The sequence below is a fragment of the Homo sapiens genome, chromosome 6, assembly GCF_000001405.40.
Source record: "Homo sapiens chromosome 6, GRCh38.p14 Primary Assembly".
Classification (NCBI taxonomy): domain Eukaryota; kingdom Metazoa; phylum Chordata; class Mammalia; order Primates; family Hominidae; genus Homo; species Homo sapiens.
The window spans coordinates 43,543,637-43,558,921 of record NC_000006.12 but is presented as its reverse complement, the minus strand read 5'-3'; the positions used below and the strand labels follow the sequence as shown (position 1 = coordinate 43,558,921).

At 42.0% G+C, this 15,285-nt stretch overlaps 2 protein-coding genes and 1 non-coding gene across 4 annotated transcripts in view, besides 1 other annotated feature; 1 reads left to right on the top strand and 2 right to left on the bottom strand.

Annotated features, from left to right (window-relative positions):
• Positions 1-15,285, bottom strand: part of POLR1C (RNA polymerase I and III subunit C) — a 45,319-nt gene that overhangs the window by 3,486 nt on the left and 26,548 nt on the right. The window contains exon 9 of the mRNA NM_001363658.2: positions 7,911-7,954. Coding sequence (NP_001350587.1) covers positions 7,953-7,954 — 2 coding nt within the window. The 3' untranslated portion in view covers positions 7,911-7,952. The remainder of the gene's footprint in view (positions 1-7,910; positions 7,955-15,285) is intronic.
• The window catches only part of XPO5 (exportin 5), a 53,705-nt gene that overhangs the window by 17,117 nt on the left and 21,303 nt on the right, over positions 1-15,285 (top strand). Inside the window, exons 12-21 of one of the 2 annotated variants that reach the window (NR_144392.2) lie at positions 331-421; positions 2,958-3,086; positions 5,419-5,549; positions 7,469-7,624; positions 8,988-9,029; positions 9,344-9,433; positions 10,462-10,661; positions 11,215-11,314; positions 11,469-11,606; positions 12,170-12,351. Coding sequence is in view for 1 of the 2 variants with exons in the window: in NM_020750.3 (NP_065801.1) it covers positions 331-421; positions 2,958-3,086; positions 5,419-5,549; positions 7,469-7,624; positions 8,988-9,029; positions 9,344-9,433; positions 10,462-10,661; positions 11,215-11,314; positions 12,170-12,351 (1,121 nt within the window). In the remaining variant the exon portion in view is untranslated. The remainder of the gene's footprint in view (positions 1-330; positions 422-2,957; positions 3,087-5,418; positions 5,550-7,468; positions 7,625-8,987; positions 9,030-9,343; positions 9,434-10,461; positions 10,662-11,214; positions 11,315-11,468; positions 11,607-12,169; positions 12,352-15,285) is intronic. The other variant, NM_020750.3, reaches the window with a different exon arrangement.
• Positions 10,754-11,953: an enhancer, noted in NCBI's record as "BRD4-independent group 4 enhancer chr6:43514706-43515905 (GRCh37/hg19 assembly coordinates)". NCBI's record gives its function as "activates an origin of replication core promoter dependent on BRD2, P300/CBP, MED14 and CDK7 cofactors, and independent of BRD4, by STARR-seq in HCT116 cells {active_cell/tissue: HCT116}" and the evidence as "EXISTENCE:reporter gene assay evidence [ECO:0000049][PMID:35650434]".
• Positions 14,652-14,778, bottom strand: LOC124900224 (small Cajal body-specific RNA 15). Its single transcript, XR_007059951.1, has one exon.

Below are 15,285 nucleotides of genomic sequence, written 5' to 3'. Positions count from 1 at the left end.
AGGCAAGTAGCTCTCAGTTCTTTCTTCCTTACTACATACTGAATTGTCATTTTTTCTGGGGACCTTAAAAGAATTCAAGAATTTAATTCTCCCTGAGGAACTTGGAGGATGGTATCAACTAAAAGTATTCTCTTTTCTACCACTGAGGAATACTGGAACTGGGAGCAAACTGTGGACCTGTGATAGAACTGAAGTGGATATTTACCATACAATATCTCATGCAAACGCTTAACTCTTAAATAAATTAAAAGTGCTTGAACTCCTGAAGCTTAAAAACTCTTTCAGTGGGTCCACTTTCATCCCCTACCCCAATTACCTTTCTTTTTCCAGATGGGCTTTCCTTCTAAAACAGACAGCCCTAGCTGTGAATATTCTCGGTTTGATTTTGATAGCGATGAGGACTTCAATGCTTTCTTCAACTGTAAGTGATGTTGGCCTTGGATTTCTCTCAACAGTCTCAGAATGGCATCTAGTATTATGAATCATGGTGCATGGTGTTTGGGGTTTTTACGAAAGATCCCCAAATCTGGATAGCAGCCTACTTATTAGGCCCTAGTTTCCCATTGCAGAAGAGTGCTGGGGCTGTATTCCAGGCATAATATTTTGTTTTACACCACAAACCCCCACAGCACTTAGACATTGATGTTTAGGGATGGTAACCATACTTAAGACGCTCTTGACTTTTTTTCATACTTAGGATTAAATACCATCTTACCTTATGGTTATTTCTTTCCCCCAAAAAGTGGAAAAATCCATTTTATTCTAATATTCTAGTTCTGTTCTGTGTTTTCTGTGCCTTATTTCCTTTTTGTTTGTTTTTTTTTTTGAGATGGAGTTTCACTCTTGTTGCCCAGGCTGGAGTGCAATGGCGCGATCTCGGCTCACCACAACCTCTGCCTTCTGGGTTCAAGCGATTCTCCTGCCTCAGCTTCCCAAGTAGCTGGGATTACAGGCATGCACCACCATGCCCAGCTAATTTTGCATTTTTGGTAGAGATGGGGTTTCTCCATGTTGGTCAGGCTGGTCTCGAACTCCCGACCTCAGGTCATCTGCCCGCCTCAGTCTCCCAAAGTGCTGGGATTTACAGGTGCGAACCACCGCGCCCAGCCTCCTTTTTTTTTTTTTTTTTTTTTTTTTTACAGCTTTATTGAGACAAAATTCATTTACCATACAGTTCACCCACATACAGTATATAATTTAATGGTTTTTAGTATTTTTACAGAGTTGTGCAGCCATCACCACAATCAATTTTAGATTATATTTTCATCACCCCAAAAATAAATCCTATATCCACTAGGAGTCATCCCCCAATTCCCTCATCTCTCCCAGTCCTAGGCAACCAGTAATCTACTTTCTGTCTCTGTTTTGCCTATTCTGAACGTTTCATATAAATTGAATCATACATGGTCTATTGTGACTGCCTTCTTTCACTTGCATAATGTTTTTAAATTCATCCAAGTTACAACATTTATCAGTACTTGATTTCTTTTTTTTTTGAGATGGAGTCTCGCTCTGTCGCCCAGGCTGGAGTGCAGTGGCACAATCTCGGCTCACTGCAACCTCTGCCTCCCGGATTCAAGCGATTCTCCTGCCTCAGCCTCCTGAATAGCTGGGACTACACACACGTGCCATCATACCCAGCCAATTTTTTGTGTTTTTAGTAGAGACAGGGTTTCACTGTGTTAGCCAGGATGGTCTCAATCTCCTGACCTCGTGATCCACCCGCCTCGGCTTCCCAAAGTACTAGGATTACAGGCGTAAGCCACCACACCCAGCCTTTTTTTTTTTTTTTTTGAGATGGAGTCTTGCTCTGTCGCCCAGGCTGGAGTGCAATGACACACTCTCGGCTCACTGCAACCTCTGCCTCTGAGGTTCAAGCGATTTTTCTGCCTCACCCTCCCAAGTAACTGGGATTATAGGCATGCACCACCATGCCCAGCTAATTGTTTTATTTTTAGTAGAGACTGGGTTTCATCATGTTGGCCAGGCTGGTCTCGAACTCCCGACCTCAGCTGATTCACCTGCCTTGGCGTCCCAAAGTGCTGGATTATAGGCGTGAGCCACCACACCCGGCCTTCATTTCTTTTTATTGCTAATATTTCATTGTATGGATATACCACATTTACTCATTTATTCATCTGTTGATGGACATTTGAGTTATTTCCATTTTTTGGCTATTACAAATAATGCTGCTATGAACATTTATATACAAGGTTTTGTTTAGATATAAGTTTTTGTTTATCTTAGATATATAACTAGGAGTAGAATTGCTGGATAATATGGCAATTGCAAGTTTAATATTTTCAGGAACTGCCAGACTATTTTCCACAGCAGCTGCACCATTTTTTATTACCACCAACCTGATTTACTTTTTAAAAATTTTTTTTTTTTTTTTTTTGAGACATGGTCTCACTCTGTTGTCCAGGCAAGAGTGGTGCTGCGATCATGGCTCACTACAATCTTCACCTCCCTGGGCTCAGCTGATCCTCCTACCTCACTCTCCCAAGTTACTGGGACTATAGGAGCATGCCACCACACCTGGCTACTTTTTGTATTTTTTGGTAGAGACTGGGTCTCACTGTATTGCCCAAACTGGTTTTGAACTCTTGGGCACAAGCAGTCTGCCCACCTTGGCCTCCTAAAGTGCTAGGATTTCAGGCGTGAGCTACTGTGCCCAATCCTGATTTCCTTTTAATTCAAACAGAAATGGGAGACTAAGTTTAGTTTGCCACTTACAGGATCTAGCTGGTAATACAGTTTCCAGAGATCATTTATTTTCAAAAACTTCTGGATTCGTTAATAAAGTTTTATTGAGTGATTATTACATGCAAAGCACAAGTCTGCAAAACAGTTCCTTTGAATGCTTTTCCCCTAGGGTGGTAAATTAATAAACATTAAGTACTTATTTTATACCAGTTATTGATTCCTGTCCTTCCCTTGGCATTTTCTCTTGGCAGCCTCCCGAGCACAACAAGGAGAGGTGATGAGGTTGGCATGTCGTTTGGATCCCAAAACTAGCTTCCAGATGGCTGGGGAGTGGCTAAAGTATCAACTATCAACTTTTCTTGATGCTGGTTCTGTGAATTGTAAGTTTTTTTCATTACTGAATGTTAGTGAAATGTTAGGACAGTATCAAAACTATATATAGGAAATGAGCCTGAGCTATACACACATCAGAACGATATACTTATACTATTCAAAAATAGCTTTGCTCATCCTGGAGAGGGAGCGTTTTCATTGGCTGACACAAAGAAAGCAGATGACACATTTTAAATTTGTTTTAAATTAGGGTAAAACCATGTCCTTATCAGTTTTGCCATCATTTTCCATTTCTAACAGAATCAACCAATTATTTATTGTTGATTTTATTTGCTTCACTTCAGGCACCAGCTTAACAAATTTCATGCGTAGACCTAACTTTAAAACTTTTCAGCCAAAGTCTTGCATAGCACTATTCCTGAAATCAGAAAGGATCTCCTGTTAGACATAACAGGAATAATACAGGGACTTCTCATATCACTCAGCCACTCCAAAGCTTTTGTGAAATTATACTTTACATAAATTCAGAATAATCCCCCTCTACCGAATGCCTCAGCCAGTTAACTTCTCTGTACTCCAAATGTTTTGTCTCTCATCTTAATGCATGCTATATGTGTGTGACAGTATTAATAAAGCAAAAAGGCTGGATGCAGTGACTCACGCTTGTAATCCCAGCACTTTGGGAGCCCAAGGCGGGCAGATCACCTGAGGTCGAGAGTTTGACACCAGCCTGACCACCTTGGAGAAACCCTGTCTCTACTAAAAACACAAAAAATTAGCTGCCGTGGTGGCGCATGCCTGTGATCCCAGCTACTTGGGAGGCTGAGGTAGGAGAATCGCTTGAACCCAGGAGGTGTAGGTTGCGGTTAGCCGAGATGGCGCCATTGTACTCCAGCCTGGGCAACGAGAGCAAAACTCCATCTCAAAAAAAAAAAAAAAAAAAAGTGAATTAACTAGTGCACGTCACTGCTTTAGAAAAGCACCATACTACTGGCTGACATTTGAGGGACTTAACATTCAGCTTTATTTACAATTGACTCTAAATTCTCTGATATTTGGTAACTTGAAAGGTTGAGGAAGCCCAAATGTGTTGCACTAAGATGAAACTAGTAAATAGGACTACGCTGTATGTAAGCAAGAAAAGCAATTGGTAAATCTTAGGCCAGGCAGGGTGGCTCACGCCTGTAATCCTAGCACTTCAGGAGGCCGAGGCTGGGGATCACCTGAGGTCAGGAGTTCAAGACCAGCCTGGCCAACATGGCAAAACCCTGTCTCTACTAAAAACAAAAAATTAGCCAGGCGTGGTGGTGGGCCCCTTTAATCCTAGCTACTCAGGAGGCTGAGGCAGGAGAATCACTTGAACCCAGGAGGTGGAGGTTTCAGTGAGCCAAGATCGTGCCACTGCACTCCAGCCTGGGCAAAGAGCGGGACTCCATCTCAAAAAAGAAAAAAAAAAAAAAGAAAAGAAAAGCGGCTGGGCACAGTGGCTCACGCCTGTAATCCCAGCAGTTTGGGAGGCTGAGGTGGGTGGATCACAAGGTCAGGAGTTTAAGACCAGCCTGGCCAAGATGGTGAAACCTCGTCTCTACTAAAAAAAAAAAATACAAAAATTAGCCGGGCATGGTGGCAGGTGGCTGTAATCCCAGCTACTTGGGAGGCTGAGGCGGAGAATTGCTTCAACCTGGGAGGCTAATGTTGCAGTGAGCCGAGATCTCGCCACTGCCCTCCAGCCTGGGTGACAGAGGAGACTCCATCTCAAACAAACAAAAAAAGAAAAGCAGTTGGTAAATCTTTTTGCTTGTGCCTTGCTATTTGAGTGCTGTGCTGTGGTAATAGTTGTAAACTTGAAGGATGGCACCCTTCTCTAGACATAGCCCTTAAGGCTGTCATGAGGCTATTGGATGTGAAGCAGTATTTTGTATATTACATTGTTTCCTTATTGGGAAGATTCTTTATGGTCTCAATTTTAATTATTTAGATTCTCATGGAAAAGATTATAAAGGGGGAGGAGGGGAGAAACTAATTCATGTTTATCAAGTGCCTACTAATGGGCCAGGCAATGTTTTTGATGTTCACCTGCGTATTCTCATTCATTACTCAAAATGGTTTTACTACAAGGCTCATAGAGGTGAATTCAGACCGCTCATTGTTAGAGGAGGAGGAGGCATGGTAGGAACCTTCACCTACCTCATTGCTTTCAGCACACATCATCTTTTCTTTGCCCCAGCTGAGAGGGGTTAGATTACCCTGCTCCTTCAATCATGAAATTCTCAGGTGTTCTCTAAGGCTCCATTGTCTCTCTGTGTCTTCTGCGATCTTTCAATGCTGATAATTGTGTGTGTGTGTGTGTGTGTGTATGTGTGTGTGTGTGTTTTAAAGCTTGTTCTGCAGTTGGAACTGGAGAAGGAAGCCTCTGTTCCGTCTTCTCACCTTCATTCGTGCAGTGGGAAGCCATGACTCTTTTTTTGGAAAGTGTTATCACCCAGATGTTTCGAACACTAAATAGAGAAGTAAGTAATTATTTCCCATGCTGACTGCATGATTATTTTGACCTTTTTCTTTTCTTTTCTCTTTCTATTTTGGGACGCTATATCTCTCTGTTGCTCAGGCTGAAATGCAGTGGCACAATCATAGCTCTCTGTAACCTCCAACTCCTGGGCTCAAGCAATCCTCCTACCTCAGGCTCCTGAGGATCTAGAACTACAGTTACTTGCCACCACACCTGGCTAATTTATAATAAAAATGGAGTCTGTGTTGCCCAGGCTGATCTCAAACTCCTGGCCTCAAGCGACCCTCCTGCCTTGGCCTCCCAAAGTGCTGAGATTGCGGGCATGACCCACTATGCCTGGCCAGTAAACTGGTAGTAGAATAGGAAAATCTATGGATGTACATCTTACAGAAGAGGAAACAGATTTAGAGAGGCTAAATAGCATACTCAAGTTCAAACAGCTAATAAATGGCAAAATGGGGACCAAAACTCAGGTCTTTCTAACTCTAAGCACTACCACATTTAGTATACATTTTAAGTACCACACTGCTTTAGAATACTGTACGCCACCAGTATAGTGGCCACCTGTAGGTCTGAAAAGGAGGGTATGCACAGAGAGCCTCAACTGTATCAGTAAAATCATATTTCTTAAAGTAGGCAGATGAGGATTTACTAAATTATAGAGAAATAGACAAAAGATATAATCCAATAATGTATAGAGGAGAACCTAAAGTAGCTGATAAGCCGGGCGCAGTAGCTCATGCCTGTAATCGCAGCACTTTGGGAGGCCAAGGCTGGCTGATCACTTGAGTTCAGGAGTTCCAGACCACCCTGGCCAACATGGTGAAACCTTGTCTCTACTAAAAACACAAAAATTAACTGGGCATGCTGGTGCATGTCTGTAATCCCAGCTACTTGGGAGGCTGAGGTACAGGAATCGCTTGAACCCAGGAGGCAGAGGCTGCAGTGAGCCAAAATCACGCCAGTGCACTCCAGCCTGTGTGACAGAGTGGGATTCTGTCTTAAAAAAAAAGAAAAGGGTGGGGCGCAGTGGCTCAGGCCTGTAATCCTAGCACGTGGAGGCTAAGGTGGGTGGATCACCTGAGGTCAGGAGCTCAGGACCAGCCTGGTCAACATGGCGAAACCCTGTCTCTACTAAAAATACAAAAATTAGCCGGGCATGGTCATGGGTGCCTGTAATCCCAGCTACTCAGGAGGCTGAGGCAGGAGAATCACTTGAACCCAGGAGGTGGAGGTTGCAGTGAGCTGAGATCGTGCCATTGCACTGGGCAACCAAGAGTGATATATAAATAAAGTAGCTGATAAATATGAAAAACATTCAGCCTCTTGATCAGTTGAAGAAATACAAAATTTAAGAGGTTTTAGGGAATAATACACTGCTGAGAAGATGGTAAGAAGGGCACGCACAGCTGAGTACGGTGGTTCACACTTGTAATCCCAACACTTTGGGAGGCCAAGATGGGAGGAATGCTTGAACCCAGGAGTTTGAGACCAGCCTGGACAATATAGTGAGACCTCATCTCTACTAAAAATTTAAAAAATTAGCCAGGCATGGTGGTGCGTGCCAGTAGTCCCACCTACTTGGGAGGCTGAGGCCGTAGGATCACTTGAAACCAGGAGTTTGAGACCAGCCTGGTCGACATAACAACACTTCTACAACATCTCTACAAAAATTTTAGAAAGTATCCAGGCATGGTGGTGCCCGCCTGTAGTCCTAGCTACTCAGGAGGCTAAGGCAGGAGGATCCCTTGAGCTCAAGAGTTTGAGGTTACAGTGAGTGATGATTGTGCCACTGTGCACTCCAGCCTAGGTGACAGAATGAGACCCTGTCTCTTTAAAAGATGAAAATAAAATGTAGCCAAAATGGTTATTTCTAAGTGGAGGCAGCCATTGTCAACCTGTTTTATGTCTTTGTTACAGGAAATTCCTGTTAATGATGGAATAGAGCTATTGCAGATGGTTCTGAACTTTGATACCAAGGATCCCCTCATCCTGTCCTGCGTCCTTACTAATGTCTCTGCACTCTTTCCATTTGTCACCTACAGACCAGAGTTCCTGCCCCAGGTCTTCTCTAAGGTATAAAGCCCATCTCCTTTGTAAATTTTATTTTGACATTTCTAAGTTAATTTTTATTTATTTTATTTTTTTGGAGACAGGATCTTGCTACATTGCCCAGGCTGGACTCAAATTACTAGTCTCAAGGGATCCTCACACCTCACCCTTCTGAGTAGCTGAGACTACAAGCATGCACAACCATGCCTGGCCTAGGCTAATTATTTTTGTAACTATTTTTAAAATTATGTGAGGCAAACTAATAAACACAGCTATTTATTCATTTATTAAATATCTACTCAGTACTTACTGTGGATCAGGTACCATGCTAGTGCCTCACTCTTTAGGAACACTCTGGGAAGAAAGGCACAAAAACAGTTAATGTTACCTATATGGCATTGCAATGAAGACTTGTATAAAGGAGAGTATTAGAGTGTGCTGTCGGGCAGGGAGGGGATTTATGAGAGGAAGGAACACTTTCCAGGTTTCCAGTTCAGTTGACTAGGTGGGTGATAGAGCCACTCCCTGAGTCAGAATACCAGATCACAAAGGAGAACGGGACTAAAGAAGAGAAAGCATGAGTATTTTGGAATACTGTGTTTGAAGAATATGTAGAACATCTTTATGGAGACATCTCACAATAAATTGGCTATTTGAGGTTGAAGATCTAGACTCTAGAAAGTAATGAGATAAAATTAAAGCATCATCATCATAGTAGTCCCACGACTAAAAGTGAAGTCTTACTGAAGTGATTATGTATGTAGAGTTAGGAGACATGTGAGTCAAGCGAGGAACCTAGTGAATCACCATCATTGGAGGAGTGGAGAAAAAAATGAGAAGCCCCCACAGAAGGAAAAAGAGCCAGAGAAATGAAGAAAATGTTGTGTCACAAGACCAGTAGGACTTCAGAAAAGTGGGCTCATTTGTTGCAAATTATTTGAGTTGGAGAATGCCCAGTGAGTTTCTTGACTACACTCTTGTCTGAGTTTAATTCCATAATAGTGGCCAAGTAAGCAGCCATATTTCATTGGAATGAGGAGTAAATGGGAAATAATGAAATGGAATAGAAGGGATAGACCATACAACTTTTGATAAAAGAAGAGAGAGGCGTTTCCATAGCCAAGTGCTTGGGTGATGGCATGAATTGTTCTGGGATCCTATTGTAAAATGTTTTGATGGTAAAATTGTGACTCCGATGACTCTTGTAGAGGTTATCTGAGAAAATGGACAGTATGAATAAGCTCATGCCCGTAGTCCCAGCTACTCAGAAGGCTAAAGCAGGAGAATCAGTTGAGCCCAGGAATTCAAGTCTAGTCTGGGCAACATAGCAAGATCTCATCTCTAAAACAAATAAACATGAGTGACCTTTTTTCCTCCTCTCCCTTAGCTATTTTCATCTGTCACTTTTGAAACTGTTGAAGAAAGTAAGGTAAGACCATTAATTAAACCAATAGATTCTAACTTCTTGAGTACAAATGTATGAATACCTGATACTCAGTTTATATTTTTATATAAATGGGAGGGGGTAGTAAGGGTGGTAGATTATCATATATGTTGTTTTGCCACTATAGGGCATACAAGAAACATGGATTCTTGGTGGCTATAAATGTTACTCCATTATACTCTTAGGGTTGTGAAAAATCATTGTGAATTTGCCCCTGACTGAGATATTCACATGAGTCTATGCAGCACCTGTATATTATATTAAAAGCAGCTCCGAGTTTGTTGAATGTCTCTTTTCAGGCCCCCAGAACCCGGGCAGTGAGGAATGTGAGGAGGCATGCTTGTTCCTCCATCATCAAGATGTGTCGTGACTACCCCCAGCTTGTGCTGGTAAGCTGCTGGACCCTGGCTGAAGTAGCCAAGTTTGGTTACATTTGTGTGTAAATCCAGCTTTCAGTGTACCTCACATAAAGAAAAAACTAGAAACTATAGCTTTGCATCATATAAGCATCCTTGGCCGGGCATGGTGGCTCACACCTGTAATCCCAACACTTTGGGAGACTGAGGTGGGTAGATCACCTGAGGCCAGGGGTTCGGGACCAGCCTGGACAACATGGTGAAGTCCGGTCTCTACTAAAAGTACAAAAAAATTAGCTGGGCATGGTGGTGCATGCCTGTAATCCCAGCTAGTCAGGAGGCTGAGGCAGGAGAATCACTTGAACTCAGGAGGCGGAGGTTGCAGTGAGCCAAGATCACGCCATTGCTCCAGCCTGGGCAACGAGCGAAACTCCATCTCAAAAATAAATAAATAAACATTCTTGAATTGGTGTTTTCTTAGTATACTTAGTAGTATAGTTAGAAATGTGATGGCAAATGTAATCTCTCTTCAAAATACAAATAGTTCTCTGCCATATAGATTACTAAGTTTACCCCTATAATTCTACAACTCTTTACTATGTGATGATCTTAATTACTACTGCCAAATGATGTGCCTGATCTTGAGAAAAGCAGATGCAAATCACAACCCTTTTTGGGGCATGGGGTTATAAGAAATTTAACATTACTCCAGATTACAAATTATCCAGAAATTTCTTCTCTGAATGCACAGCAGTTATCTCCATATATATATAGATATACATATATATCTATATATATATATAAAACAAGCTGATCTTTTCACAGTTGTAGTATGGGAAAGTGCAGTTATCCAAATACTCAAGACAAGAGCTATCTTCCGCCTAAATTGCCTTGCTTATTTAGGCAAAATAAAGACATATAACAGAATTACCAAATAATAACCTTATAGGCCTGACTTTCCTGGGACTGCTTTGGTTTTCTTCTTTCTTCCTTGAGTAAGCCACCTCTCCTTGAAAATCAGACCTTTACCACCTCTGGCTTTTTTTCTTTTTGATCTGTAGCCCAATTTTGACATGCTTTATAACCATGTGAAGCAACTCCTCTCCAATGAGCTACTCCTGACACAAATGGAGAAGTGTGCCCTCATGGAAGCCCTGGTTCTCATTAGCAACCAATTTAAGAACTACGAGCGTCAGAAGGTGTTCCTAGAGGAGCTGATGGCACCAGTGGCCAGCATCTGGCTTTCTCAAGACATGCACAGGTAAAGGAGATCCCTTGCCCTGACTCTTACTATACTCAAGCACCCATTTTGGTTTAAGAGCTAGGCCCAGGGTGGGGTAGGGGTTAAGGATATTGAAGTGTGATGGCATTATCCATGATATCTGAAGTTCTCTAAAAGCAGTCTTTTGTAATTTAATCTCTGGTTCAATTAGATTGTGGGTGGGGAGGGCACAGAGTGAGACTCCTGTGGTGTCTGCATTGCAGCACCAGCACATTTAGAAAAATGAGAACAGCTAGGAAGGGCCATACAACCACACAGACACTTATCTGTGCTCACACAGTAGAGAAATTATTTTCTTTATATTTTGAAGATTATATTCTTGTTTAATTCTTAAATTGTTACTAATAATATTTGGGAGTGGGAAGGGAAATTTAAACCTTCAAATGACAACTGACAATTAGTATGATTATACTCCTCTCACTATAAAAACTGCTCTTAAGGGCCAAATAATGATAGCCTGTTAACTCCTGTGGAAGAAACTGTCCTTGTTTAAAGTCATGATGTAACTTGTTTTTCCCCCTCCAACCTTCAGAGTGCTGTCAGATGTTGATGCTTTCATTGCGTATGTGGGTACAGATCAGAAGAGCTGTGACCCAGGCCTGGAGGATCCGTGTGGCTTAAACCGTGCACGAGTAAGACTTTCCTGGGAATGGGAAGTGGCATTGGCCATGGGTAGGAGTAGGGTGTTGTCTTTTGTCAAGTTTCTCATAGATTTGTTTTTTCTATACTGGTGAGAAACGTGGGAGTCTCCACTTCCCTAAGCTTCTCCTTTCTTTTCTTCTTTAGTCTTGAATTCTTGAGTTAGTTCCCACAGCAGAGCAGATGGTCTTTTCTATGAAGTCATTATTTTGGCTTTAAGGATCTCTAAATAGCTCTGAAGACTGAAGGTGTAATGAGGAAGTAGGTCAGAACTTGGTCAGCAGGGTGAGTCCTCCCTGCCATTGCTCTCTGGCATGTAAAGTCTTAAGTGATGGCTTAACTTGCAAACCTGAGATTTTTCAGTGCTTTGCTATTTAAATAAGCATTGTTCCTGGCTCCATTATGGCACAAGTCCCATTAATTAACCTGGCAAGTAGTAGGTTGATTCAGAGTACCGTGAGGGGGGATTAGGACACTAGCTGTCAAGGCCCAATAAGGGTCAACTCAAAGAAGATGAAGTGATGGCATTTTAAACACTTTGTTTTGGATCGTATCTAAGCCACCTTCTCATCAGGGTCCTGTGGGTGGGTCACTGCAGCTCCTAGAAAGACAGCTTACTGCAAGGGAAGTTTCCAGAGCCTACCACTGGCCCTGAAAATGGCAGTGAGAGGATCCCTCTTGGACTTCACCTTAAAGGAAGGGATGGGGGATTGCCGGGGAGCAGAGGATTATTTCATTCTCTCTGGCCTCTGTGTCACTTTTGCCAGAACCTTGAATATATCTAACAGTATTTGGTCTTTTTTTTTTTTTCCTTTTAATATTTATCTGTCATTCTTATTTTTCTATAGATGAGCTTTTGTGTATACAGCATTCTGGGTGTGGTGAAACGAACTTGCTGGCCCACTGACCTAGAAGAGGCCAAAGCTGGGGGATTTGTGGTGGGTTATACATCCAGTGGAAATCCAATCTTCCGTAACCCCTGCACAGAGCAGATTCTGAAACTTCTTGACAATTTGCTTGCGCTTATAAGGTGAGTCAGAATAATGGCTTTTCTCTGTTGTTTTCTACTTTACCTTAAAAATTTCAAAAGTTTAGTCTGTTTACATGTCTTCATATCTTAGTGGTATTAATGAGGGATTGATTTAAGTCTTATTTCTTTCTAGAGGGTGTCTCAGTTTTAAAAAAAATAACATCAGCTCTCACTTGCATAAATCTTAATTTCCATGTGAACCCAAGGGGATAATCCCAAAAGGGCTTTTCCCATTTTGAGCCTCCTCTTTGTTGTTCTTCCATTTCTTTATACTTCATCCCTATTTTTACTTGTAAGTTTTATTTGGTCTAAATTTTTTAGTAAAGGAATTGCTCATTGGGAGCAGGGCAGTTGCCTTCTATAATGATGCTTGTCTAGGTGGTATTCATATGAGCTAATCTGAATTTATCAATACTGAGTCTGAGCTCAGATGAACCAAACAACCGCTGGCTGAACATGCTAAACAAAGGAATTATAAATTTTTCATCTGAGTTTGCTAGATCCTTGGTTCTCAAAGCTGAGTCCTAAGACCAGTAGCATTAGCATCACCTGAGAGCTTATTTCAAAGGCAGAATCAAGGCCCCACCCCAGACATACTAAATCAGAATCTGCATTTTAACTAGATGCCCAGTGGTTTATATACACATTAAACATTCAGAATCACTGTTTTAGATCACATGAGTTAATATATTCAAGTGGAAGTAGGCCAGTATAGGCTTATCAGTTACTAGATATAGATATTTGATGACTCAGGGATGGTCTCTAAATGAAAAGATAGGTTTTTTTATATAATTCAGTTATTGGCCAAAGAGTGCTTTTTGTATCTCACAGGATTGGTTTTTTTTTTGTTTGTTTGTTTTTTTGAGACAGAGTCTCACTTTGTCACCCAGGCTGGGAGTGCAGTGGTGCAATCTTGGCTCACTGCAACCTCCGCCTCCCAGGCTTAAGCGATTCTTCTGCCTCAGCCACCCAAGTAGCTGGGACTACAGGTGTGCACCACCACTCCTGGCTAATTTTTGTATTTTTAGTAGAGACAGGGCTTCGCCATGTTAGCCAGGCTGGTCTCGAACTCCTGGCCGCAAGTGATCAGTCCACCTCGGCCTCCCAAAGTGCTGGGACTCCAGGAGTGAGCCACCACACCTGGCCTCTCACAGGATGTTTAAATTACATTGTTAGAGCTCTGTTTCAGTACTTTTTGGCCCCTTCTCCAAGGAGTAAAAGCAGTCTCAACGGGGCAAACCAAATTATTCATGTCGCAGTGAAACTCTCCTGGGAATAGACACCCAAGACCTGAAGCCTGAGAACCAAAGATTTTAAGTTAATGTTGACAAATTGGAGGGCTGGAGTGTCTGATAAAGTTGTCATTGTGGACATGTCTGTGGAAATAGACAATATTTTGGCGGGGTGTGGTGGCTCACACCTGTAATCCCAGCACTTTGGGAGGCCAAGGTGGGTCAATCACTTGAGGTCAGGAGTTTCAGACCAGCCTGGCCAACATGATGAAACCCTGTCTCTACTAAAAATACAAAAATTAGCTGGGCATGGTGGCACATGCCTGTAATCCCAGCTACTCGAGAGGCTGAGGCAGGAGAATCGCTTGAACCCGGGAGGCGGAGATTGCAGTGAGCTAAGATCACGCCACTGCACTCCAGCCTGGGCGACAGAGTGAGACTTCCATCTCAAAATAAATAAATAAATAAATAATATTTTCTTTTGATTTCTAAAGGAGGAAAGAGATCTCTGAAAAGAAGTAGGACTTGTACTGAGAGGGTTAAACATTTAGTCAAGAAGAGGCTTATTTCTATCGTGATGTTTTTATTAATAGAGATGGGGTTTTGCCATGTTGCCCAGGCTGGTCTCGGACAGCTGAGCCTGCTTCAGTCTCCCAAAGTGCTAGCATTACAAGTGTGAACCACCACACCCAGCCCCATAGTGATGTTTTTTAAAACCACAAGGTTCTTCTGCAGCTAGAGAAACGTGAAAGTGATGGAAATCATAGGGCAAGAAGCTAATCACCTAGACCTTTTTAGGCCTGTGGCCAGAATCTATGTGGCCAACCCAGACGTGGAAACAGGGTTCATTTCTGGTTGACTCTAGAGGCCACAAGACAACAGTATGATTATCTTTTTTTATATAATTTTCTTTTTTTAAAAAAGTATAATCTCTTTTCAATTTCTAGTCACCTTCCTATCAATCAGTAGAGGAAGATTCTCATGTGTTCACTATGTCTTTCTCCAGTTTTTTCCTCTATAAATTTACTACTCCTATTTTCTATAGAAAGACAATGGAAAGTGTATAATTGCTGTCGGTAGATAAGTAGGTCTTGAATTTATTTTGCAAACAAGACCTGTTCTGTCTATCCTTTCATTTAGGAGGCTAACAGCAGACTCAGCTTGACTTTAAGGACTCTATTTTCTTAGTCTTCAGATGGTTATCATTTTGATACTTTTCTAAGAGTTCAGTGCTTTTAGAGAATTCCAAAAATCAATCAAAAGGCATTTTGAAAAATGCCTAGCATGTAATGATAGAGTAGATTGCTTGAATAGTGTGTAGCTGGAGCTATTAAGAGTTTTGCTTTTTTAGTAAATTTTATTGGCTGGGCGCGGTAGCTCATGCCTATAATCCCAGCACTGTGAGAGGCCAAGGCGCATGGATCACTTAAGGTCAACAGTTCGAGACTAGCCCAATAAACATGGTGAAACCCCACCTCTACTAAAAATACAAAAATTAGCCAGGCATGGTGGCGGGCGCCTGTAATCCCAGCTACTCGGGAGGCTGAGGCAGGAGAATTGCTTGAACCTGGGAGGTGGAGGTTGCAGTGAGCCAAGATCACAGGGAAGAGTCTTCCCTGTCCCTGGGCAACAGGGAAGACTCCGTCTCAAAAAAGAAAAAAAAAATTAAATAAATTTTATCTTGAAGTGTAACATTTATGTA